General features: G+C 41.0%; 1 protein-coding gene and 1 long non-coding RNA gene across 5 annotated transcripts in view, besides 2 other annotated features; both read right to left on the reverse strand.

The window, feature by feature from the left end:
• Nucleotides 1-27059, reverse strand: part of PAH (phenylalanine hydroxylase) — a 121553-nt gene that overhangs the window by 90931 nt on the left and 3563 nt on the right. The gene's annotated exons all lie outside the window — the stretch shown is intronic.
• LOC112267865 (uncharacterized) lies at nucleotides 60-23026 on the reverse strand. Of its 4 annotated transcripts, XR_945279.3 has the most exons (5): nucleotides 22770-23026; nucleotides 22315-22461; nucleotides 18924-18983; nucleotides 3835-3926; nucleotides 60-209 (listed from the first exon to the last, which is right to left on the reverse strand). It is a non-coding gene; the product is annotated as an uncharacterized LOC112267865 (long non-coding RNA). The 4 variants fall into 4 exon arrangements; XR_945280.3 differs by lacking the exon at nucleotides 3835-3926; XR_246028.3 differs by lacking the exons at nucleotides 60-209; nucleotides 3835-3926 and adding an exon at nucleotides 16437-17334.
• Nucleotides 22134-23061: an enhancer, noted in NCBI's record as "H3K4me1 hESC enhancer chr12:103343731-103344658 (GRCh37/hg19 assembly coordinates)". NCBI's record gives its function as "activates a minimal SCP1, AML or CMV promoter by ChIP-STARR-seq in naive H9 embryonic stem cells {active_cell/tissue: H9 hESC(naive)}" and the evidence as "EXISTENCE:reporter gene assay evidence [ECO:0000049][PMID:30033119]".
• Nucleotides 23670-25083: an enhancer, noted in NCBI's record as "VISTA enhancer hs1122". NCBI's record gives its function as "enhancer in: eye[6/7]" and the evidence as "EXISTENCE:transgenic organism evidence [ECO:0001131][PMID:17130149]".

The raw sequence follows: 27059 nt of genomic DNA on the forward strand, positions 1-27059 counted from the left end.
AAAAAACAAAACCTAGAAAGAGGCAGTGTTTTGTTTAGATTGTGGAATCAGGAGTGATATTTTGTTTGTCACATTTATTCTTTCCCACTTACATGTATGTAAGGGAGTACAGTTGCAAGGGAAAATATAGTTTGCCTAAAACTATATTGGATTTCTAGTTGAACATAAATGAAATGTCCTTCAGCTTTATTCTTTCTATTTCATTCCTTCTGGAAAGAGAGAGAAACAAAAATTAATTCAGCACTTAGTTATTCAGTACCAGGCACATCGGAAAGGTTATCTCACTTGATACTTTCTACAGTCCAATGAGATACGCTTTTATTTTAAAATTTTTTAATGTTTAATATATGTGGGTACATAGTAGTTGTATATATTTGTGGGGTACATGAGATATTTTGATACAATCATACAATGAGTCATAATCACATCAGGGTAAATGGGGTATCTGTCACCTCAAGCATTTATCCTTTCTTTGTGTTACAAACAATCCAATTATACTTTTAGTTATTTTTAAATGTACAATAAATTACTGTTGACTGATAGGTTTTTAGTATTCTCATTGTGTGGATGAGAAGTCTGAGATATTGTAGTCTTCTGGGATAGAAAGCAAAATATCAGGTATGGTGATGTCAGGGCTGGAGAAAGTCCCCATTATCTTTTCCCTCTGGTTCTCAAGGGAAGCAAAATGTTTAGTGGAAGGGGCGTGGTCTAAACACCCCTATCCACTTAGAGACCCCTGACCCTTGCAGGGACTTGGTAGGTTTGACCATTTGAAAGCATGAGTTTTGGAGACTGCAGTCACTACTCATCTAATAAAAAATTTTGGAGGCACATATTCTGAGGTACACAGTCCATCAGGCCATGGGGTGCTCAGTTTCCTGATAAGACACAGACCTGATTGTGGATATAAATTCTTTTGCTAATTCCTCTGTGTCTGTCTCACCAGGGAAAAAGGTGGCTGAGGTCTAGGGCTAAGGAGACACTTGGGGGACTAGACATGAGATCCACCCACCCAATCTAAAAATATTTGTTCAGCTTTTGCTGCAAGAGAGCCACTTTTCTAGGTTCTATGATTATAACTGCCTTCCTGAGTTTATGTTTCTTTTAGCAAATGGAGATTTATATGGTTTGGCTGTGCCACCACCCAAATTGGGGCGTTCTCATGCCCCCATGCTGCTGTTCTCATGGTAATAAATGAGTTTTCAGGATATCTGATGGTTTTATAAAAGGCTTTTTTCTCTTTTGCTCGGCACTTTTCCTTCCTGCCACCATGTGAAAAAGGATGTGTTTGCTTCCCCTTCCACCATGATTGTCAGTTTCCTGAGGCCTCCTCAGCCCTGCAGAATGGTGGGTCAATTAAACCTCTTTCCTTTATTAATTACCCGGTCTTGGGTATGTCTTTATTAGCAGCATGAGAATAGACTAATACAGACATTAGTCAAATCACAGGAATAAATTCAAATTTGTAATCTTAACAAGTGTCATGAAGGAGATGTACATAATGCTGTGAGAACTTTTCCCTAGGAAGTTTTTGCAATCTCAGAGAGCAAAGTAGAAATATCTAGATGAAAAGGGAAGGGAAGAACCTGGAACCTTCCAGAACCTTCCAGGCAGAAGGAATAGCATGAGCAAAGGTCATATTGCAGAAACAATGGGGAACTTGGTTGAAGATGCGAGTGGAAAGCTCCTTGGGGTAGACCATGTCAACCATGGCAAGGAACTTTTATCTTTATCCTGAGAGGTGGAGTGCCCTTGAAGTGTGTAATCAGAGGTGGCTCCATTAGATGTGCGTTTTGACAAGACCACTCTGGCTGCAAGGTGGAGAGTGGAATGGAGGGTATCGAAAGCAGCTAATAGGTGATTGCACTTGTCCAGGTGAGAAATGGCCATGATGCCTTGGACTAAAGTGGTACTGAGGGTGGAGATGAAGAAAATAGGATGAATTTGAGAAAAATTTAGAAATTTTAAAAAGAGGAGTCAGTTTAGATATGAGCCAGCATGAGAAACAGGTCAAAGATGACTCTTAGGCTGCTAAGTAGATGGAGAGAATGCCATTCTCAGAGATAGCTCCATCTCTGCTTTTGAAGGAACAAAGAGATCTATTGAGTTGTGCTCTTCAGTCTAATCATTGAGAAGATATCTCTGGAACTGGGACTCATTGAGATATTAAGTTAGGGAACTTCTATTATGTGTTATCTTTCTAAAAACTATTTTTCTATTTGTATTTTACATTTTGATTTACAGAGTATTTTCAAATACATTATCTGTAAGGTATAGATTGCTAACCCCATTTTAAAAATGAGAAAATAAACTGAGTAGTTAAGTAACTTGCTCAAAGTCACACAGGCTATCTGAGTCCAAGTTCAATGCTCTTTTTATTTTATTTCTGCCATTCATTCATTCAGTATGTGTTTACCACCTACTCAGAGACAGCAGAGGCAGATTCATCATGTAGCTAATGAACTAAAGCTTTAGAGCCTCACATCTACATAAGCTCTGAGGCTCTTAGAGGAACTCTAGAAATGAGTTTGTCTGGTTACATATTTTCATCTTTTTTTTTTTAATTTGCCAAAGTAAGATAGTTAATCCACAGTTAGGTATGACTGCCATCTCTTCCCACATTAACATCCTCTCCATCATGCTTCTCCTCATGGCCAGTGGCCACAGACACCTTTGAGATCCAGATAAGAACAAGATAGGATGAAAATTCATTTGTGTATAGTTAGTGGTTATATTGACATCTTTTGCACTGACTTTTATAAGAGTTGTTTTGCTGGCTGTCTAGGTGTAAGAAGAGATTCCAGAACACCCCTGCTGTCCACTCTCCTGAGTTACTAGGTCTTAAGGTCTTGAGAAGAAGTTTGGAGAGCATGTTATATGGGGTCTAGTTCTCTCTAATCCCTGATCAAAACAGAATTTCTCTCCTTGTCAGGAATATACTTGATAATAAAGCAAAAACACACATCCTTTCTTCCCCATTTCTGTGGAGAATTGTGTGAAATCAATGTATGAGAATTCCTGTTTGTAAGGCACAAATCTTTAGTGGTTCTACAACTACACATTTCAGTATATTTGTGTGTGAAGCAATATGTCTTACGTATCTATGGTATCAATAATAAAAAAACAAATTTCAATCATGTTATAGAAAAAATAAATTATCTGTTTATTCTCTCTGAAGATAATGAAAGTAAAAATTATGAGATAATCAGTGTACACCAAAAATACAGAAACAGTTACTATAGCGGTTGATTAGATAATTTATTAATAAAAATATTATATAATTTACCTGGAATTTGTGGCATTTTGCCAGCCTTCAATAAGGTGGCATTTACTTGGGTTTTTGTTCTAAAGACATATTCATTTTTCTATCAAATTTTATATTTAAAATTTTGTATTCCTTTCCTTAAATAGAGCCCCAAAGTTTTATAAGCCACAGGCTTCCAAAATTTGTAGGTACCCCCACACAGGAACTATGTGAGTCAGACAAAATAACCTGCTCCCCCACAACTTAAAGCTTATGAGAGGGAAATAGCAGTGGGGTGGGTAGGTGTTAGAGCTTGGCTGTGTGGGGCCAAGTGCTGGGGGAATGCGCCACAGATGCCCCTGACTGCCTTGAGGGTTGATGATGATGGTTAGGAAAGGAAGATGATTCCCAAGTGGAAAGGAGAGGTAAGGATGTCTTAGGTAGAAAAACTAGCCAAAGCCTCACATAGACATAGTTTTAATCCTCACTACTTGATCTAAGGTCCATGAATTGTTTCTTATGCAAAGCTCTGATGACTTCATTTTGCAAGCTCTCCTTTCATTGCTACTTCCCTCAATCTCCTTGCCTACCTTCCCTGGGGAGAGTCAGTTGCCCCTTCCATTGGTCTCCGTTAGCACCCTGTTGACATTCTGGTTTTGCATTCAGCCTTTTTCCTTGCCCTCTTGCGAAAAGGAATATTATGTTAACTCCCTCAATACAGAGACTGAGTCTTTTTTCAATTTTTGCATCCTAGAACCCACCACTTTGTTGGTACATAGTAGGTATCCAATAAACGTTGATGCAGTAATATTTATTGAGCTCCTATCATGTGGCAGCCCCTGTACTAGACACCAAAAAACCACTGGTAAATGAAGCAGACACAGCCCCTGCCATCCTGGGGCTTACATTCTAGTGTCTGTTGAAAGAATAAATGAATGGCGGTGTGTGTGCTGAACAAGCTCAGAAAAAGTGATGTTAGGAAAGGGGTTTGAGGTCGTCAGAGTCTGTCTCCTCCAATCCCCCTTCCATTCCTTCAGACTTATCATCTGTGTTACCTCTCTGCTTACAAATCTCCCAGGCCATCCCAACCAAACCATTTGTCTGTCATTCAAGGCTTCCCAAAGCCAAGCCTACCCTGCCCAACCATCCCAAACCCTAGGACCCACCATTACAGGGCCTCTGCTCTTCCCACTGTGCCCTTCTTATACTTACAGCTTATGAGAAGGAAATGGCACAAGACTTTGACAAGTTAACAACCATGATTATGTGAAACCATCAATATCAACTACAATGAACATTTATTAAATGCCTGCTATTCAATAAATAAGCACCAAACTCTGTGGGCTCCTTGGAGAGAAGACCCAGTTGCTTGAGGCTAGGAAGATATTCACATAAAAAGATCGCTGGTGATCCTAGAGAGCCCATGCCAAGGAATAAATGAGGCTACAGAGATGACAAGAGGAGAAGGACAGTTTTTCTGAGACTATTAAATTAAGTGTTTTGCATGCCACTTCCTGTATTACATATACATATATCTTACATTTTGTAAGCAGCTTTGGTACCACCAACTCAATTCACTTCTTCAACAGGTGTATATAGAACATCTGCCTTTTTTGAGACACCACAGTGAGTGCTGAGTTCATGAAAGGAGGCAAAGCAGGTTTTTCACTCTTACGGGAACTTCAAAGGCAGTGGGTTCTTATAAGAATAATGGGAGGCTACTGAAAGGTTTTTCATTATTTTAATTTTTAATTTTTAGTTGTTGTGAGTATGTAGTAGGTGTATATTTATGGAGTACATAAGATATTTTGATACAAGCATGCAATGCTTAATGGTCACATTACACATTGCACGCTTATACTCATGGAAAATAGGGTATCCTGTACCTCAAGCATTTATTCTTTCTTTGTGTTACAAACAATCCAATTATGCTCTTTCATTTTAAAATGTACAAGAAATTATCATTGACTATAGTCACTCTGTTGTGCTGTCAAATACTAGACGTTTTTCATTCTATATCACTATATTTTTGTACCATTAACCATCCACGCTTTCACCACCACACTATCCTTCTCAGCCTCTGGTACCCATTGTTCTTCTCTCTGTCTCCAAAAATTCAATCTTTTTAATTTTTAGCCTCCATAAATAAGTGAGAACATGGAAAGTTTGTCTTTCTGTTCCTGGCTTATTTCGTTTAACATAATGACCTCCAGTTCCATCCATGTTTTTTCAAACAACAGGATCTTATTCTTTTTATGGCTGAATAGTACTCCATTGTGTATAAGTACCACATTTTGCATATCTATTCATTTGTTAATAGGCATAGGTTGCTTGCAAATTTTGCCTATTGTGAATAGTGCTGCAATAAACATGGGCATGCAGATTTCTCTTCAACATTCTAATTTCCTTTATTTGGGGTATATACCCAGCAGTGGGATTACTAGATCATATTGTAGCTCTATTTTCAATTTTTGAGGAACCTCCAAACTGTTCTCCATAGTGGTTGTACTAATTTACATTCTCACCAACAGCATACAAGAGTTCCTTTGCCTGTATTTTGGATTATAAGCCATTTTAACTGGGGTGAGATGATATTTCATTGCAGTTTTGATTAGCATTTCTCCGATGATCAATGATATCAAGCACGTTTTCATATGCCTGTTTTCCATTTATATGTTTTCTTTTCACAATGCTTATTCAGATTTTTTTGCCCATTTTTCAATTGGATTATTAGAATTTTTCCCATACAATTGTTTGACCTCTTTGTAATTTCAGTTATTAACTGGTTGTCGGATGTAGAGTTTGCAAATATTTTCTCCCATTCTGTGGGTTGTCTCTTCACTTTGTTGTTTCTTTTGTGGTGCAAAAGCATTTTTAACTTGATGTGATCCCGTTTGTTCATTTTTTGCTTTGGTTGACTGTGCTTGTGATATTACTCAAGAGATCTTTGCCCAGTTCAATGTTCTGAAGAGTTTCCCCAATGTTTTCTTTCAGTATTTTCATAGTTTTAGGTCTTAAATTTTGATTTGATTTTTTAATATGATGAGACATAGGAATGTTGGTTCATTCCTCTGCATATGAGTTTCCAGTTTTCCCAGCATCATTGATTGAAGAGACTGTCCTTTCCCAAGTGTATGTTCTTGGCACCTTGGTTAAAAACGAGTTCACTGTAGATGTATGGATTTGTTTGTGTGTTCTTTATTCTCTTCCATTGCTCTGTGTGTCTGTGTTTATGCCAGTACTATCCTGTTTTGGTTACTATAGCTCTGTATTATAATTTGAAGCCAGGTAATGCAATTCCTCCAGTTTTGTTCTTTTTGATCAGAATAGCTTTGGATATTCTGGGTGTTTCATGGTACCTTAAATTTTAGGATTTTTTTTCTGTTTCTGTGAAGAATGTCATTGATATTTTGATAGGGATTGCATTGAATCTGTATGTTGCTTTGGGTAGTATGTACGTTTTAACAATATTATTTTTTCCAATCTATGAATATGGAATATCTTTCTATGGTTTTTGCATCCTCTTCAATTTCTTTCATCAATGTCTTATAGTTTTCATTGTAGAGACCTTTCACTTCTTAGGTTAACTCCTAGGTATTTTATTTTATTTGTGGATATTGTAAATGGGATTATGTTCTTCATTTCTTTTTCAGATTGTTTGCTGCTGGCATATAGAAATGCTACTGATTTTCTATGTTAATTTTATATCCTGAAACTTCACTGAATTTGTTTAGCCAGTTCTGTTATTTGGTTAAGTATTTAGGTTTTTCCAAATATAAGATCATGTCATCTACAAATAAAGATAATTTGACTTTCTCCTTTCCAAATTGGATGCCTTTTATTTCTTTCTCTTGTCTGATTGCTCTAACTAGAACTTCAGTGGTTAAAGTAGGCATCCTTGTTATTTTCCAGACCTTTGAAGAAAGGCTTTCAGTCTTTCCCCATTCAGCATGACCCTAGCTGTGGGTCTGTCATATATGGCTTTTATTGTGTTGAGGTATGTTCCTTCTATACCCAGTTTTTTGAGAGTTTTTATCATGAAGGGATGTTGAATTTTATCCAATGCTTTTTCAGCATCAGTTGAAATGATCATATGGTTTTTGTCCTTCATTCTGTTGATATGATGTATCACTTTGATTGATATGTAAATGTTGAACCATCCTTGTATCCTGGGATAAATCTCACGTGGTCTTGATGAATGATCTTTTAAACGTGATATTGAATTTCTTTTGCTAGTATTTTGTCAAGGATTTTTGCATCAATGTTCTTTAGGAATACTGGCCTGTAGTTTCCTTTATTCATGTGTTTTTATCTGGTTTTGGTATCAGGGTAATAATGGCCTTGTAGAATGAGTTTGAAAGTACTCCCTTCACTTCTATTTGTCAGAATAGTTTGAGTAGTATTGGTATTATCTCTTCTTTAAATGTTTGGTGAAATTTAGCAATGAAGCCATTGGGTACCAGGCCTTTTTTTGCTGGAAGACTTCATTATGGCTTAGGTCTTGTTACTTGTTATTGGTCTGTTCAGGTTTTGGATTTCTTCATGGTTCAATATTGGTAGGTTTTATGTATCTAGGAATGTATCCATTTCTTCTAGGTTTTCCAATTTAGTGGTGTACAGTTGCTCATTGTAGCCTCTAATGATCCTCTAAATTCCTGTGGTATTTGTTGTAATGTCTCCTTTTTCATATCAGATTTTATTTAATTCGGTCTTCTCCCTTTTTTTTCTTAGTCTGGCTAAAGGTTTGCTGATTTTGTTTACCTTTTCAAAAAACCAACTTTTTGTTATGTTGATCTGTTGTATTGTTTTCTTTGTTTTATTTCTTTCTGCTCTGATCTTTATTTTTTTTTCTTCTATTAATTTTGGGTTTTGTTTGCTCTTGTTTTTCTAGTTCCTTAAGATGCATTGATAGCTTGTTTATTTGAATTTTTTTAATTTTTTGATGTGGATACTTATAGGTATAAAATTTTCTTTTAGTACTACTTTCACTGTAACCCAAAGGTTTTGCTTTGTTGTGTTTCCATTATCACTGGTTTCAGCAAATTTTTCAATTTCTATTTTAATTTATTCATTGACCCACTGGTCATTCAGGAACGTATTGTTTAATTTCCATGTGTTTGTGTAGTTTCCAAAATTCCTCCTGTTATTGATTTCTAGTTTTCTTCCATTATAGTCAGAGAAGATACTTAATATAATCTCAATTTTTGAACTTTTTAAAGACTCTTTTGTGACCTAAAATATGGTCTATTCTTGAGAATGATCCATGAGCTGTGGAGAATAATGTATATTCTGCAGCCATTGAATGAAATGTTCTGTAAATATCTATTAGATTCATTTGGTCTATAGTGCAGATTACATTGATATTTCTTTGTTAATTTTCTGTCTCAGTGTTCTGCTCAATGCTGAAAGTGAGGTGTTGATGTCTCTAGCTATTATTGTATGGGAATCTACCTCTTTCTTTAGCTCTAATAATATTTGCTTTGTATATCTGGGTACTCCATCATTGGATGCATATATATTTACAATTATTATATTGTCTTGATGAATTTACCACTTTATCATTATATAATGATCTTCTTTGTCGCTTTAAATAGTTTCTATCTGGAAATATATTTTGTCTAAATGTAGCTACTCCTTCTCTTTTTCGGTTTCCATTGGCATGAAGTATGTTTTTCTATTTCTTTATTTTTAGTCTTTGTGTGTCTTTATAGGTGAAGTGTGTTTCTTGTAGGCAACAGATCATTGAGACTTATTTTTTCTTTCCATTTAGACAGCCTATGTCTTTTGATTGGAGAGTGATATGGTTTGGCTGAGTCCCCACTCAAATCTCATCTTGAATTGTAGTTCTCATAATCCCCACATGTAGTGGGAGGGACCTGCTGGGAGGTAATTTAATTATGGGGGCAGTTACCCTCAAGCTGTTCTCGTGATAGAGTGAGTTCTCAGGAGATCTGATGATTTTATAAGGGGCTTTTCCCCCTCTTGCTTGGCACTCCTTCTTGCTGCCACCATGTGAAGAAGGATGTGTTTGCTTATCCTTCATTATTGTAAGTTTCCCAAGGCCTCCCCAGCCCTGCAGAACTGTGAGTCAATTAAATCTCTTTCCTTTGTAAATTACTCAGTCTCAAGCTTGTCTTTATAAGCAGTGTGAGAAAGAACTAATACTGAGAGTTTAGTCCATTTATATTCAATGCTATTATTAAGTAAGGACTTACTCCTGCCATTTCTGTTGCTTATTTTTCTGGTTGTTTTGTGGTCTTTTTCTTCTTTCCCTCCTTTCTGTCTTTCTTTTAGTGAAAGCAGTTTTCTATGGTGGTATGTTATAATTTCTTGCTTTTTACTTTTTTTTGTACCTGTTATATGGTTTTTTATTTGAGGGTACCAATGAGGCTTCCACATAATATCTTATAACCTATTAATTTAATCCGATGACAACTTAACGCTGATTGCATAAACAAACAAGCAAAGAGAAAACTAATTTTAAAACTCTACACTTTAACTTTGTTGCCCTGATTGTTAACTTTTTATTATTTCTATTTATATATTATTGTACTTTCAATGTATTGACAAGTTGTTGTTGTAGTTATTATTTTTTATTTACTCATCTTTTCGTCATTCTACTCAAGATATGAGTAATTTATACACTATATTTACAATGTTATTATATTACATTTTTCTCTGTGCTTAGTATTACCAGTAAGTTTTTCACCTTCAGATTATTTCTTAATGCTCATTAACATCATTTTCTTTCAGATTAAAAAACTCCCTTTAGCATTTCATGTAGGATAAGTTTGGTGTTGATAAAATCCCTCAGGTTTTGTTTGTCTGGGAAAGTCTTTATTTCTCCTTCATGTTTGAAGAACTTTTTGGCTGGATATACTACTCTAGGATAAACATTTTTTTCCAGAGGGTAGGTGCCAAGATGGCTGACCGAAGCAGCTACTGTGCACCGCTCTCATGGAATGGAGATAAAGTTGTGAGTAAACACTATAAATTTTCCTTAGTACTGCTCTTCGACAAGATTGTCCAGGAAGCCATGTTGGAATTCAGCAAGGAAGCAACAGTGAACCACAGAGAGCAGAGAGGAATGAGGCAGGACAGCTGCCCACCAAGGATTGGCATGGAAGCAAGGGAGTATCCCCACCATGGGGAAAGGGTGCGTGAGCAAGAGGCCCCAGTGACCACACTATTCCCATAGATCTTTGCAATTCTGGGCACAGGATTTTCCCTGTGACCCTCCCCACAACGCCCCACTCCCAGGCCTCCAAACTGACATGGACAACTGCCTAGAGTCCGGGCAGAGCTACCACTCAGGCTCACATGGATCCCCAAGGGTCTTGGATCCCTGAGCACCCCGACACCACCTGCTGTAAGTGTGTATTTCACCAATAAGGAATGCCAGGCTCTCTTGCTAACCCCCAGGATAGGGTTTGTGTCCACAGTGCTGAGGAAGGGACAGACTGCAAGCCTCACCTCTGCTTCATATCTTCAGGCAAAGCCCACTGGCCCAGGACCCCAGAACAGCCACCCTACTCCCACCTAAGCATTTGGGCCAGTAGCAGCTCTGCATTTCTCTGGGACAGAACTCCCAGAGGTAAATGACAGACCCTTAGTTGCTGCTGCTTGCTGTCTGCTGTCTTGGCCCTCACCTCTACTTCCCTCAGGCTAGGGAGGTAGTGAAGAGCCCAAATACTGTCTCAAGCCTCCAACATGCTGTAGTAGATGCCATACAGAAAAGGAGCCAGATTATTCTTGACACTGGTCCTTGCCCCTGCTACACTGCACTCAGCAGGGCCTCCCAACCTGGGCTCCCACCACAGCCACCTTCTCACTTCAGTTGGTGGTGGCTGTGCATTTCTGTGAGGTGGAATACCTAGAAACAACTAACGGGCTCTCTGCCATTGCCACGGCAGCATATCAACTCTTTCTGCTCTTGGGTTGGGGAACGCACAAAGACCCTGATTGCTTTGCTCACATATCCAACATGCCTCAGCCACCATACAGAGAGGAGCCCAGTCTCTCTTCCCTGTGAGCTCCTGACACCCTGCTCTTCATCAGGCAGAAACCCCCACTTGGGCCTGCAGAGTAACTATCCCACCTCCAGCTGAACATTTCCACTGACAGCCCCGTGTCTCTCTCAAGTAGAGTTCCCCCAAGCAACTGACAGCCTCTCTGCCATTGCCACTGCTACCTTCTGGCTGAGAAAGGAACAACAAAGAGCCTGAGTGCTTTACTCACATTTCCAGCACACTACAGAAGACCTATGGAAAAGAGGCCAGACTGTCTTCCCCCAGAGCCCTCTACACACCTTTTTCTTCACCAGGCAGGGCCCACTGGCTTAGGCCTGCAACACAGCTGTCCCACCTTCAGCTAAACGTTCCCATTGGCAGCACCTCTGTGTTTCTCCAGGGCAGAGCTCCCAGAAGCAACTGACAACCCCTCTGGCACTACCACTGCCATGGTACCTGCCCTTGCTGCTCTTGGGCTGGGGAGTGAACAAAGACCCTGTTCATTTTGCTCAGAGCTTCATCATGCAGCTTCCATACAGACAGGAGCCCAGTCTTTCTTCACTGTGAGACCCTGACTCCCTGCTCTTCTTAACCATGCAGGGCCCCCAGTTTGGGACTACAGAGCAGCCACCCCACCCGTAGGTGATGATTCCAATTGGCAGTGCTTATGCTTTTCTCTGGGGTGGAGCTCCCAGGTACAAGCGACAGGCCTTATGCCATTGCCACTGCCAAGGTCTCTGCCCCTGCAGACCTTAAGCTAGGGAGGAAACAAAAGCCCAAGCTTGCCCCAGGGCTGCAGTGTGCAGCCTGGGAGTGCCAAGCCAAGATCTGTGGCCAGCACTTGACTGGGAGAGGAGCCTACACTGTCAGAGCACTGAGAGGATGGAGGCAAGCAGGAGGAAATACAGAGGAGCCATGCAACTGAGTGAGAACCTATCTAATGGCCCTTATGTTTAAGTGCCATCTACTGAACTGCAGCTGAAACTACAATAGCAAAAATACTTTGCTAATACATCCCACTGTGAAACCATGAGCAAGAATTCAGCCACAAAGACAGACCCTGCACAAAGACTGGCCCTCTGAAAACATCTAGAAATGAAGCCAATTGACTGCTCAAATGACACCACAGTTAAAGAACATCATCCCACACAGATGAGAAAGAACCAGCATGACAACTCTGACAATTCTAAAAGCCAAAGCTTCTCATCTCCAAAAGACCACATTAGCTTTCCAGTGATGCTTCTTAAGGAGAATGAAATGACTGAAATGACAGACATAAAATTCAGAATCTAGATGGCAATGAATATCATAGAGATTCAGGAGAAAGCTGAAACCCAATCCAAAGAATCTAAGGAATTCAGTAAAATGATTCAAGAGATGAAAGACAAAATTTCCATTTTAAGAAAGAACCAAACTGATCTAATAGAGCTGAATGACTCACTACAAGAATTTCATAACACAATATTAACAGCAGAATCAACTGAGCTGAGGAAATTATTCAGAGCTCAAAGACTGGTTCTTTGAATTAGTTCAGTGCGACAAAAATAAGGAAAAACAAAATTTTTAAAATAAGCAAAACCTCTGAGAAATGTGGGATTATGTAAACAGACCTAACTTATGAGTCACTGGCATCCCTGAAAGACAGGAAGAGAGAGCAAGCAACTTGGGAAAGATATTTGAAAATATCGTCCACAAAAATTTTCCCAATCTTGTTAGAGAGGTCGATGTTCATATTCAGAAAATTCAGAGAACCTCTGATATACTATAAAAGATGACCATCCCCAAGACACATAGTCATCAGAATCTCGAAGGTCAGTGTGGAAAAAATATATATTAAAGACAGCTACAGAGAAAGGGCAGGTCATTTGCAAAGGAAACCCTATCAGGATAACAGCTGACCTTTCAGCAGAAGCCCTACAAACCAGAAGAGATTGGGGATCTATATTCAGCATTCCTAAAGAAAATAAATTCCAACCAAGAATTTTATATCCAGACCAACTAAACTTCAAAAGTAAAGGAGAAATAAAACTCTTTTCAGACAAGCAAATGCTAATGGAATTCATTACCAACAAACCTGCCTTACAATAGATCTTTAAGGAGTGCTAAACATGGAAACAAAAAACCATTACTGGCCACAACAATAAGTACATAGACCACTGACACTGTAAAGCAACTACACAATTTATGTAACAACCAGCTAATAACACAATAATAGGATCAAATCTGAACATTTCCATATTAAACTAGCATGTAAGTAGGCTAAATCCCTCCAATTAAAAGACACAGAGTAGCAAGCTGGATACAGAAGCAAGACCAAACTATATGCTGTCTTCAAGAGAACCATCTGACATGAATGACATCCATAGGCTAAAAGTAAAAAGATCGAGAAAGATCTATCAAGCAAATGGAAAACAAAAAAGAGCAGGGATAGATATTGTTACTTCAGGCAAAACAGACTTTAAACCAACAATGATAAAAAATAATGAAGTAGAGGATCACATAATAATACAGAGTTCAATTCAACCAGAAGGCTTAACTATCCTAACTATATATGCACCCCACACTGGAACACCCAGATTCATAAATTCTTAGAGGTCTACAAAAAGACTTAGAAAACCACACAAAAATAGCAGGAAACTATCGCAAAGCAAATCCACAGTGATCAAGTAGACTATATTCCTGGGATGCAATGTTGATTCAACATAGGAAAATCAATAAATGTGATTTATCACAAAAACAGAACTAAAAACAAAAACCACATGATCTTCTCAATAGATGCAGAAAAGGCTTTTGATAAAACTCAACATCCCTTCATGTTAAAAACCCTCAACAAACTAGGCATCAAAGGAACACACCTCAAAATAATAAGAGCCATCTATGATGAATCCACAGCCAACATTATACTGAATAGCAAAAACTGGAAGCTTGAGAACTGGAACAAGACAAGGATGCCTACTCTCACCACTCCTATTCAACATCGTACTAGAAGTCCTAGCCAGAGTAATCAGGCAAGAGAAAGAAATAAAAGACATCCAAATAGGAGAGGAAGTCAAACTATCTCTCTTCATAGATGTTATGATCCTATACCAAGAAAACCCCATTGTGTCTGCTCTAAGGCGTCTAGATCTGATAAACAACTTCATAAAAGTTTCAGAATAAAAAAATCAATGTATAAAAATTAGTAGCATTTCTGTACACAATAACATCCAAGCTGGGAGTCAAATTAAGAACACAATCACATTCACAATAGCCACAAAAATAATAAAATACCTGGGCATACAGCTAACCAGGGAGGTGAAAGATCTCTACAATGAGAATTACAAAACACTGCTGAAAGAAATCAGACACAACACAAGCAAATGGAAAAACATTCCATGCTCATGGGTAGGAAGAATTAACATTGGTAAAATGGCCATACTACCCACAACAGATTCATTGCTATTTCTATGAAACTACCAATGACATTTTTTTTCACAGAATAAGAAGATACCATTCTAAAATTCATATGAAACCAAAAAAGAACCTAGGTATTCAAAACAATCCTAAGCAAAAAGAACAAAGTCAGAGGCATCACACTACCCAACTTCAAACCATACCACAAGGCTAAAGTAACCAAAACAGCATGGTACTGTTACAAAAACAGACACATAGACCAATGGAACAGGTTAGAGAATTCAGAAATAAAGTTGCACATCTATAATTACCTGATTTTCAACAAAGCTGACAATCATAAGCAATTGGGAAGGGAATACCTACTCAATAAATGGTGCTGGGATAGAGGACTAGCCATATGCTGAAGATTGAAACTGTACTCCTTCCTTTCACCATATACAAAAGTCAACTCAAGATGATTAAAAGACCTAAAACTTTAAAAACCTAAAACTAACTTTAAGAACCCTAGAAGAAAACCTATGAAATACCATTCTGGACATCAGCGCTACAAAAATTTCATGAAGAAAACACCAAAAGCAATTGTTAACAAAAAGAAAAATTGACAAGTGGGACTTAATTAAACTAAAGAGCTTCAGCACAGCAAAATAAAGTATCAATAGAGAAAAAAGAAGACCCACAAAATGGGAGAAAATATTTGCAAACTACGCATCCAACAAAGGTCTAATATTCAGATTCTGTGAGGAACTTAAACTAATAAACAAAACACAAACAACCACATTAAAAATGAGCAAAGGACATGAACAGACACTTCTCAAGAGAAGACATACACACACCCAACAAGCATATGAAAAAATGCTCAACATCACTAATCATTAGAGAAATGCAAATCAAAACCACAATGAGATACCATCTCACACTAATCAGAATGGCGATCATGAAAAAATAAAAATGTAGCAGATGTTGGTGAGGTTGTGGAGAAAAGGATATGTTCATACACTGCTGGTGGGAAAGTAAATTAGTTTAGCCACTGTGGAAAGCTGTTTGGAGATCTCTCAAAGGACTTAAAACAGAACTACCATTCGACCCAGCATTATATTATATACCCAAAGGAATATAAATCATTCTACCATAAAGATACCCACGTGGACAAGTTTGCTGCAGCATTATTAGCAATAGCAAAGACATGTAATCAAACTAGATGCCCATCAATGGTAGACTGGATAAGGAAAATGTACGACATATACACCATGGAATATTATATCATAAAAATGAATGAAATCATGTCATTTGCAGCAACATGGATAGAGCTGGAGGCCATTATCCTAAGTGAATTCATGCAAGAATAGAAAACCAAATAAACACTGAGTGAAGATAGACACAAAAAACAGAACAATAGATACTGAGTCCTTCTTGAGGTTGGAGGGTGGGAGAAGGGTGAGGATTGAAAAATTACCTATCAGATACTATGTTCCCTACATGGGTGACAAAATAATCGGTACACCAAACCCCTGTGATATAAAATTCACCCATGTAACAAACCTGTAGGTATAGTCCCTGAACCTAAAATAAAAGTTGGAAAGAAAAAATAGTTTTTTCCCTTCAGCACTTTAAATATGTCATGCTACTTCCTCCATGCCTATAAGGTTTCCACTGAAACGTCTACTGTCAGATGTATTGGAGATCCGTTGCACGTTTTTTGTTTCTTTTCTCTTGCTGCTTTTAGCCTCCTTCCTTTATCCTTGACCTTTTTTGATTATTAAATGTCTTCAGGTAGTCCTATTTGGGTTAAATCTGCTTAATGTTCTATAATCTTCTTGTACTTGAACATTGATATTGTTCTTTAGGTTCAGCAAGTTCTGTTATTATGCCTTTGAAAAACTTTCTACCCCCATCTCTCTCTCTACCTTCTCTTTAAGGTCAACAACTCTTAGGTCTGCTCTTTTAAGGTTATTTTCTAGATCTTGTAGGCATGCTTCATTCTTTTTTACTCTTCTGTCTCCTTTGTGTATTTTCAAATAGCCTGTCTTCAAGCTCACTAATTCTTTCTTCTGCTTCGTCAATTATCTTATGACTGTAATACATTCTTCAGTATGTCTATTGCACTTTTCAGCTTCAGAATTTCTGCTCAATTCTTTTTAATTGTTTTAAATTTTGATAAATTCATCCAATAGAATTCTGAATTCCTTCTCTATGTTATCTTGAATTATGTTGATTTTCCTCAAAGCAGGTATTCTGAATTCCCTGTCTGAAAGGTCACATATCTCTGTCTCTGCAGCATTGGTTCCTGGTGTCTTATTTAGTTCATTTGGTGAGGTCGTGTTTTTCTAGATGATCTTGATACTTGACCATCTAGTTCATTGGTGTCTGGGCATTGAAGAGTTAGTGTTTTATATAGTTCTCACCATCTGGGCTTGTTTGTAGTAGTACTTTTTGGAAAGGATTTCCAGGTATTCTAATAAATTTGGATATTGTAATCCAAGTTTTTGATCACTGCGGCTGCATTTGCAACAGGGGAAACTCCAAACCAAGTAATACTGTGGCTCTTGCAAGCTTACAGAGGTACCACCTTGGTGGTGTTGGATAAGGTCCAGAAGAATTATCTGGATTACCAGGCAGAGACTCTTGTTTTTAATCCTTACTTCCTCCCAGATGAATAGAGTCTCTCACTCTGTGCTGAGCTGTCTGGAGCTGGGGGAGCAGAGCAGTGACACAAGCACCCCTGTGGTCACCACCACTAGGACTTCACTGGGTCAGATCTGAAGCCAGCACAGCACTGGATGTAGCCCAAGACCTGTGGCAACTACTGCCTGGCTACTGCCTATGTTCACTCAAGGCCCTAGGGCTCTACAATCAGTAGGTGGCAAAGCCAGCCAGGGTGACACATTCTCCCCAGCCTTAGGCTGGTCCAGAGATGGAAGCCCATACTGCAAGTAGGGTATTAAACACCTAACTCTTCAACATCCAGGTGCCAGAGCCTGGAGTTGGAAACCTTAGGAAACTACCTGGTGCTCTCTTTTACTGTGGCTGAGCTGGCACCCAAGCCACAAGACAGAGTTCTTCCCATTCTTCCCTCCCCTTTCCACAAACAGAGGGGTCTCTCACCCTGGCTACCACTGCCCCAGACCCACAGGGAGTACTGCCAGGCTATCACTGATCTTCACTCAAGGGCTAGGGGCTCTTCGGGCAGCTTGTTGTGAATGCTGCAAGGTCTGGGACTCTCTCTTCAGAGGAGTGGGCCCCCTCTGGCCCAGGGCAGTCCAGAAATGCCATCCAAGAGCCAAGGCCTGGAATTGGGAACCCAAGAGCCTGCCTGCTATTTTACCCCACTGCGGCCAACCTCATACCCAAGCTCCAAGACTAAGTCCCCTTTATTCTTCCCCCTCTGTTTCTCAAGCAGAAGGAGTCTCTCCTCATAGCCACCACAGCTAGGAATATGCTGGGTCACACCTGAAGCCAAGGCCCATGGAATATACTACCTGGTTACTGTTGCTGATCATTCAGGGCCCAAAGGTTCTTTCCATGACTGGGTCCTTCACTTCAAGGTAGTGGGGTCTCTTCTGTCCCAGGATGTGTCTAGAAATGTTGTCTGGAAGCTAGAGCCTGGAATAGGGACCTCAGGACTCTGCCCAGCACCCTATTCTACTGTAGCTGAGCTGATATTCAAGTTGCAAGACAAAGCCCTCTTTATTCCTCCCTCTCCTTTCCTCAAACAGAGGGAAGGAGTCTCTCCTGGAGCTGTGAGCTGTGCTGCCAGAGGTTGGAAGAGGGGTGAGACAAGCACTCCCTTGGCAACCCTTGCTGGGGATTCACTAGGTCATGTGCCCCGCAAGTCCACTGGCTCTGAGCCCAGCATAGCGTCAGGACTTGCCTGGGAATTGCAGTCTTTGTGGCCTAGACTGCCTTTTGAGTTTCTTTAGTACCCAAGAGCTGTTTAGCCCATGTTGGTGAGACTTGCAAGAACTAAACTTTTGAACACTAGGATGGGCAGTTCTCCTCTGGCTAGGCCTGGTCTAAATGCTCCCTCTGTGGGTGCTGACTGAGTTCTGCCTGGTGTTGCTTTCCACTATGGCAGGGCAGGACAATGCCAAGTCCCACAATCCCTTTGCTGTCCCTTACCGAAGCACACAGATTCTCTGTCCATGCCATGCGTCCACTGCTGCTGGAGTGTTGGGGTGATGGGGGAGGAGTTGCATCAGCAATTCAAGACTGTCTTTTCTACCTTCTTAGGTGTCCCTTTCAGTGATATAAAACTAAAATAGCGTACTGTGATGGCTTACCTGATTTTTGGTTCTTATGAAGATGCTTTTTTGTGTGGATAGTCACACAATTTGGTGTTCCTGTGGGGAGAATGATAGGTGAAGGCTTCTATTCAGCCATCCTGTTCCCCTGTTCTGAAAGGTTTTGTAGAGGAGCAATAGGGTATGTGATACTTTGTAAAGATCTCTTTGTCTGGGGCTGTAATATAAAGTTCCATTTTTTTATGTTCTGATGCCTTTTATACGTGTGACTGTGACATTTAGTTAGATCATTCTGGTGGCAGTGAAGAAAAAGTATTTGAGGGAGATTAAACTAAAAGCATGAATACCAGCTGGGACAATACTGAAGTAAAGCAATGATATAGTAATAGGGAGGAAGAAAATGATTTAAATTCAGATGGATTTTTCATTATGTACATTTGTTTATATTATATACATACTAAATGTGTGTGTTTGTGTGTGTATATGTGTGTGTGTGTCTGTGTGTGTGTATAATTGTTAAGACTTGGTGGTTGTGGAGTGCCTGTGAGAGAGTGGTGAGAGTATGGCATGACCCCAGGATTTTGGTTTGACTGTGTGGGCAGATGGTGCTAAACCCTGAAATATAGAACACAAAAGGAGGGAACGAGTTGAGGGAATAAGCATGATCTCAGTTTCAAATATGTTGCCCTTGATACATCCATGGAATATTCCAGTAGCAATGTTGGTCACACCAGTTTCAGATCCCAGGGAGGTCAGTCCAGAACCAAGAATTTGAGAGTCATCAGCAGAAGAGGTGGAAGCTAAACTCTAAGGGCAGCATATGTCATCAAGGAACTTGACACTGGGGATGAGAAACTAAAAAAACTAAGTACTGAGAAACAAAGGATCAGAAGGATAAGAACCATGGTAGTCAAAGGAGGAGAGAATCTCAAGAAGAGATGAGTGATCAGCAGGGCCAGATGCATTGAGATGATCAAATAAAGTAGGACCTGATTTATCTTTTATGTGTAGCAAAATAGAGTCGGGGTGACTGTATTAGTCTGGGTTCTCCAGAAAAAAGAACCAGTAAGAAATTAGATGTAGATGGACATGTATTTCAAGAAATTAGCTCGTGTGGTTATGGAGGCTGAGTCCCAAGATCTGCAGTTGACAAACTGTGGACCCAGACTACAGTTCCAGTATGAGTCTGAGTCCAAAGTTAGGAGAAGACTAGTGCCCCAGCTCCAAGACAGGTAGAGAGAGTAAGTTCTCCCTCACTCATCCTCAGTCCCTCAACAGATTGGATGAGCCCTACCCACAATCTTTACTCAGCCCCCCTCATCCAGAAAGATTCCCACAGACACACTCTGGGTACTCCAGAGGGAAGAGCAAGAAATAAATGAAACTGTGGGTGTTGACTAATGTTCAAAAAATTTGTCAGAGGGCTGAAGGTGGTCACAAGGTCAGAGAGTGTATCAGCCTTTTTTTTAGGATGGGAAGGTACGCATTTTATAAGTTACAGGTTTATGAGTTAATCAATCAAACTTTCCTGAGTTGGGGGGAGACCAGATTGGAAGAAATAGAGCTCAGGAAAGGAGGTTGGAGAGAGGTAGGGCAGAAGTGAGGATGAGGAAGAATCAGAGGATGAGGCTACATATGGGAATGGAAAGTTAAGATTTCCAAAGTGGGGCTCTTTTGGGTAAAGACAAAGCCCAAGATGCAGACTTGCAAGGGGTGGCTGAAGAGGAATGGAGGTTAAGGCTACTGGAGTGGAGAAAGTCAAGGAAGCGAAAGGCTCCGGGGCTGGGTAGGTTGTTCCTGTGGATCTTTTCTTCCCGCTGCAAGTTTCTGACCATTCTTCAGGGCCAGTATCAAAGGCCATCTTTGTAATAACTTACTGAGCCTCTCCTCCCCCTCAAGTCACTAGGGCATCCTCTTACCCAAATAAAGTATTAACATATTTACATGGCTAGTTTAACTTCTTTATCAGAATATATTAGTTCTTCATGAGTCTGAGTAATGGAGACTGTCTTATCACCCAGAATACCTCTAGAGAAATAGTTCTTTATCTTTAGTATACAAAAGGACTTCCAGGTAGCTTGCTAAAAGAGCCAATTTGCCAGATTCTGATTTGGTGGGTCTGGGATAAAGCTTCAGAATCTGAATATTAACAAACATCTCAGTTATCTCTAATGGGAGTATCAGGGGAGAACGTCATTAAGTCCTCACGATGCTCTATGGTTGAACCAAATTGTATGGAGAAGAATTAATGGAATAGAATCAAGTAGTCCTGAATGAATCAAGTTGCAAATGTTCGCAGTCCCAGCTGCAGTTTGCGAAATAACCGGCAGGTGGCGAACGACCCACACAACTCGCAGAAATTACAGCTTCTCGGGGTCCCAATTCCTAGACCCAAAACTGCCCAGGAGTAGAGGAGAATCCTATTTCCCAAGCAATGCTGTCGGCGACAATGGTGAGTTTCATCCGTTTGCATGTGCATCCTGAGGTGCCAATGGCCGATCTCTTGCCCTAGTCCCCAGGGCTAAAGTCATGCTGACCCAATGACATTGCCTTCTGGCTACCAAGAGCCATAATCCTGGCACCAGCAAGGACTGGTCTCACTGATGACATCATTTGCCTAATGAAGGTTCTTATGGCAGGAGGGCAGTGGGAGAAGAACAGCAAACCAAGTTCGTCTATTCAAAGAGAGGAATGGTTGCCACTAGAGGATCATGTGGTCCACGCCTGTATTCTCTATTTAGTCAGAATCAGAGGGGAGGCATCTTACTCAACCCTCTCATTTTATAGAGCCTGAGAGACGATGAGCAACTTGCCAGAGGTCACAGAGGTAGAAAGTTTCAGGATTTTCTGGGATCTGTCTCTTTAAGTGACTTGCCTTTTCATTGCACCTAACAGTAACGTGTCAAAGGGTGTGTGTATGTTGAAATCATTAGTGTCTGCTCATGAATTGTTATATAGGAGAAGCTTAGGGGTGACCATCTGGTTGGGGAAGAGGGGCTGGATGACATTAGGATGTGTTTGCATAACAAGTCCACCACTTTTACCTAGATTGTGTATTTATTTGGGGTGGGAGATGCAGGAAGGTGGGAGTCCAAAGAGAAGGGACCATGGGGAAGAAGATTCTCCATGGTTGCCCCCACCGCATGTTTTAATGGACTTTCTTATACATCTGCTTTAATGTCTACTAAGTCACAAATGTATTGAAGGCACTCATTGTGTCTTATTCCCCTCTGATTAGGTTTCATAGTTATTTGATGAATCAATGAGCATGTCAGCCTTGATCATTTTTAGATCTGAACAGTATTTTCTAACATCTTAGATGATTAGCATATACCTCCTGTTATCTATTTCTGTCTGTTTGTACTTATTTAACACATATCCAGTGTTTACTATGTGCACTGTTGTCAGCATTTTAAAAATATCAACTTACTTAATCTTGTCTTTGTTGCTGTTTCCTAAAGAGTCCATGAGAGTGAATATCTACTATTAGAAATCCTTCTCTTCCTCTCTCTTCCTCTTCCTCTCAAAAGGCCTGAAAATCAGTTACTGGTCCCTGCCCGTGCTGCAAATACTTGGCCTAGGGAAGAGTGGTGGGGAGGGATGAAATAGTTAACTAGCTGACCTGGGGCGCACAGTTTCCCTGGCAGATGCCGCGCTCAGGCTGCGGCTGCTTCCTCCTGAATCTGTTAGGAGTACACTTTCCCTTTGCCCTCGGGGCCAGCGTCCAGGTTTGCCACGGTGGTGGAGACAGCTCCAGCCACGAAGCTGATTTATAGGCCAGAGCATTCCCAGGCCGCACCGCAAGGAGTCGGGCTGAGCTTGGACTTTGGGAAGGTGGTGATGGACACAGGACACGTGGCCACACAATGGGGACACACGACTGACCTCAGTCACTTCGGTAAACTGCCCTTGCTTTCCGGAGGCGGCAGGAACGTTTCAGGAGCTCCAAGGCTCTAGGCGCCTGCATTCCTCGCCCCAGCCGGTAGTCTCCTAGCCCTGTTGAACGCAAGAGCATCCAAGGGCGCGCAAGTCCCCAAGAGCTCTCAGAGGTTCCTGACCCTGAGCGTTAAAGCCCTTCCTCGCGGATGAGACCCTTGGTGCGTTCCACCCGCTTGGGGGCTGAGACTCGCCAGGACGCACTCAGAATGAACTTTCCGCGCAGGTCAGATATAGGCACCCAGGGGTTTTGTGACGTCACAATGCCGTCTGACCCGGTGAAAGGCAAAGGAAGGGTCAAAAACGGATAGTGTGTGTGTTGTGGCTGAAGTGGGGGCATGTGAGAAGAGGGAAGTCCGAGGAATGGGGGAAGGGATTTGGGGACATGAATTTGAGAAGGAGCAATCAAGTTTGTGCGTGGGGGGGGAAGCAGGATTTTTTCTTCTTCCCTCCTATATGCAAACTGTCACTTCGGGTTAGCGTGAGCCCTTATCTGGCTCATTAGCATGAGCTGTGGCTAACACGCTTAAACCCTCTAATTATTTATTATGCCGTCACGGGGCGGATTGCAACCCCACCCCGGGGCGCACTTTCGGGAACCTGCAGAGCTGGGCACCGCACGGGGGCCGGAGCACAGAGCCTGGCCCCGCTGCGCGCTACCAGGGAGACTCCTTACGGCTCAGGAGTCCCACAGGGTACTGTTCTGAGGGTCAACGAAGCAGAGTTGTTGGGGGTCTATCTGGAATGGCTTCTCACCAACATTCATCCCCAGGGTAGTAGTACTGAACTCGCCTGGTGAATCTACATAGCACCCTAACTTCTCCATTAACAACTCCAAAGACGGAAGTTGGAGCCAAGAGGAACAGACTTTGCAAAAATAAAAACAGAAGCCAAACCTGGTGCAAAGGGTTGGGAATTGGGCTGAGTAGCATGTTGGGTACACCTTCCAGAAGAACCCTGGGGAGAACCTAAAGTTTGCTGGAGCCCTCTTCCCCACCCCCGAGTTCCAAGAGGATCCACAAAGTGGGGGTGGGAGATTTGATGGGCTGAAATCCGGTCACTCACGTCCACGGTTCTATTCAGAAAACAGTTTCAAAATAAGTTAACCTCTGTAGGGCATTTTTCCCCCTCCCCTTTAAATTGTCCCCCCTTCCCCCTCCTTCTTCTCATTTGAGTCTGTTTTATGTTCCCCTGCGTTGTGCCAACTATTTTATCTTTATTCCTTCTCTTTCTCTCTTGCCATTCATTGCTTTTTTTGTGTGTGTGGCTTCTCCGGCTGATGTGCGGCTCGTTACCACCCACTGCACACTTGCTCCTGTAGCTGAGGTGTTTCTATACAAACTCCAGCGTCCAGTTGTCATATTAATTATTACACTGAGTAATGACTGAAATGGTCAAAATAAGGGGAGACTCAAGAGCGCTTTTTCTTGCGGCTCAAAGATTCAGCAAAGAAGCCGTACAACAAAGCACTAATTGGTCCCCAGAAACACTCTGACAAGGCATGGAAGATAGGTTTCATAGAGCCCTTCGATTGTGAAGGGGGGAGAGCTCTGAATGGACTCCACGCTTCTTTTCTAAACTCTCTTGCTGAGCAAAAAATGGACCTCTGTTTGAATACTGCCCTGATCCTTGAATACTACACCCAGCAGAGAAAAAAATGCACCATTTATTGTAAGTTTTTTTTTTCTTCTCCAGCTATTCAGGGGTTCTCTGTGAAGAATCAGCTGGTTTTGTTTACCATGAAAGACCTTTACTTTATTTTCATTCTTGGAGGAGGTGGGGAGGAGGAGGGAAGGAAAGCCATGTGCCTAGACAGAGAGGAGCTGGCCTACTGTAACAAAATAGAGTGTAACAAATCCTACAAAAGTTTAGAATGTATTGATTCTTTGGAGAGCTATATAGATTAACGACTTTCTTTATGCTCATCCAAGGAAGGTATTTAATCATAATGTAAATGGGGCTTTAGAAAAAAATAAAGACTTAGCGTTACTTCTCCTTATTTGGAGAACTTCAAAAGGACTTGTGAGGGTGGCTGCAAATTACCTCCTCACCCCACCCCACATTCCCTCCTTATCCCAAAAGCCACAATAAAATATAGTTTGTGCTTTTTTTGTTTTGTTTTTTCAAACTTTTTTCTTTTTAAAGCATATTGAAAAAGTGAATAGATTTGTTAGAAGGCTGAATTCCTTAATGCAGGTGCAAGCCTGGCTGCTGTGACCAGGAAGCTGAGCCAAGCCAAATACATGGTTTGTGCTATTCTGCCCCCTGAGCAGGCCCTCCAAGGCTGGTGCAGAGTCAATGCAGGCTGGGCAGCAATCCTTTCTGAAATTACCTTGGGTAGGGTATTCTTAGAGGCAGTAGATTGTGCAGTAAAGTCCTTTTCATTTTCCCTGGGTAGGACAGTGTCTAGCACAGCCTTAGAACAGCAGACACCCCAGCAGGACAGAGGCCCTGTATTAATTATAGCTCCTGGAAGATGAATATTGGCTATGAATGCCAAGCACACTCACTTTTCTCAAAGCATCCATTGCTTCTGGAACTCAAGTCACCCCCAAATTGAGGATTACACTTAAAATCCTGTAACAAAATCCAGAATCCAAGACTTGTGTTCATCTTTGTATTCCCTTTGCCCCTGATTCAGAATCTAACTAAAGTTAAAAATATAACTTTATTAAATTATTTGTCCAATGAAAATCCTAGTTTCACTTTTAATATCAATCCCTCTCCCCAAAGAGAAAGCATAAATTGGTTTTCAAAGAGATGAGTCATATCTTCTTTTTACAGAGAGACAACACACAATCAAGAGAACATACATAGGTCTTGAGCTTCAGCAAAGGTGGTACTGGCCTGGCCTTCAGCTGTGAATGGAAATTAAGGTGGCAGGAGACTCAGGGCACAGGGTCTCTGATCTCAGGGCAGCAGACCCCTTTGGCCACTAGGAAAGCCATCTCCCCCTACAGATCCTGATGCTGAATGAAGATAAAGTCTAATCTGAAGTATGGTTCAGCTCCAGAGTGTTCTGATATAGGAAAGGGGTCTGAAGGTGCAGAAATTAAGTCCCTTATTGTATTGGAGGAGAAAGAGAAGCCTTCTTATCTTTCTGCAATGTCTGTACTCTGGGTGATACTCACCAAAGGGGATCAGTGCTTTGTCCTTCCCACTCCCCCACCCTCATGACAAGACAGAACACTGAATGCTGCTATTCGGAAAAAGTGAAAAGGCAATCTCTGATATGTGGAGAGACTTGCAAAGCAAATTACCCAACAACATCTGATTTAATTCTCATAACACCCTTGACATACAGGCAAAGGGAGTACTACCACCTCATTTATGAATGAAGGTATCAAACCTTCCTTTTGTGAGTTGTTTACTTCTCCCTTCATGTGAAGATAAATGGGACATTGTTCAAGTGTCTTAGCCAACTAAAGCCCTAAGGACTTGCTCAGAATCAGGCCCACTGTGTGGCAAGGGAGCCAAGAAAGCAGGGCCCAGTGGCTCTGCTGAAGCCCCTTGCATGTGGAGGCCACAGAACATCTCTATAGTCTATCTTACTTGCTACTTTTCATGTCTAAAAATCGGGTTACTATCTCCATCATCTTAATATGCCAGTATCACCACCATTTCTCAAAAATGACAGGAATGACTCACCCCTAGGTGCTGGGACAGTGAGACAGAGTGGCACTGGATCTCCATTGGCTGGAGTGATGATCACAGAGTGGTTCCAGGAAGCCAAGTGCTGAGGCTCCTCCTGCCACACACCCTTTCCTGGGTGGGTTGTGTGAGCATGACTTTCTTATTAATCCCTTTCTCTTTAGACCTGGGCTAGAGTGCTCTACATACATATCATTGAAGTCTCACAACTCTTGGAGGTAGATACTATAATTACTGGCATAGGTGAAATAGAGACCCCTAGAGTGTCTCAGGGTCACACAGCTCTCAGGTAAAGGGGCCTAGATACCAAGTCAAATCAGCCTGCTTTATCTGGAATTCCATGGGCCTAGGAGAGCAGAACATGTGGCCAGTTCTCTCAGGTCGGGAGGAGGGATTATAATCTAGGTCACACAGTCAGAGGCAGGATTCTAATTTTGGCTCCTGAGCCTCCCATCTTTTGCTTCACACTGGTGAAAACAACCAGAAAGCCAATATCAATGGAAAACTCTCTTGGTAGAATCCCCAAGGATAGAAATGCAAACCTCTAAAGAAAAATTATAGACTGTTCTACCCTAGGGTTGGAGGAGA

Source organism: Homo sapiens, chromosome 12, assembly GCF_000001405.40.
Source record: "Homo sapiens chromosome 12, GRCh38.p14 Primary Assembly".
Classification (NCBI taxonomy): Eukaryota; Metazoa; Chordata; class Mammalia; order Primates; family Hominidae; genus Homo; species Homo sapiens.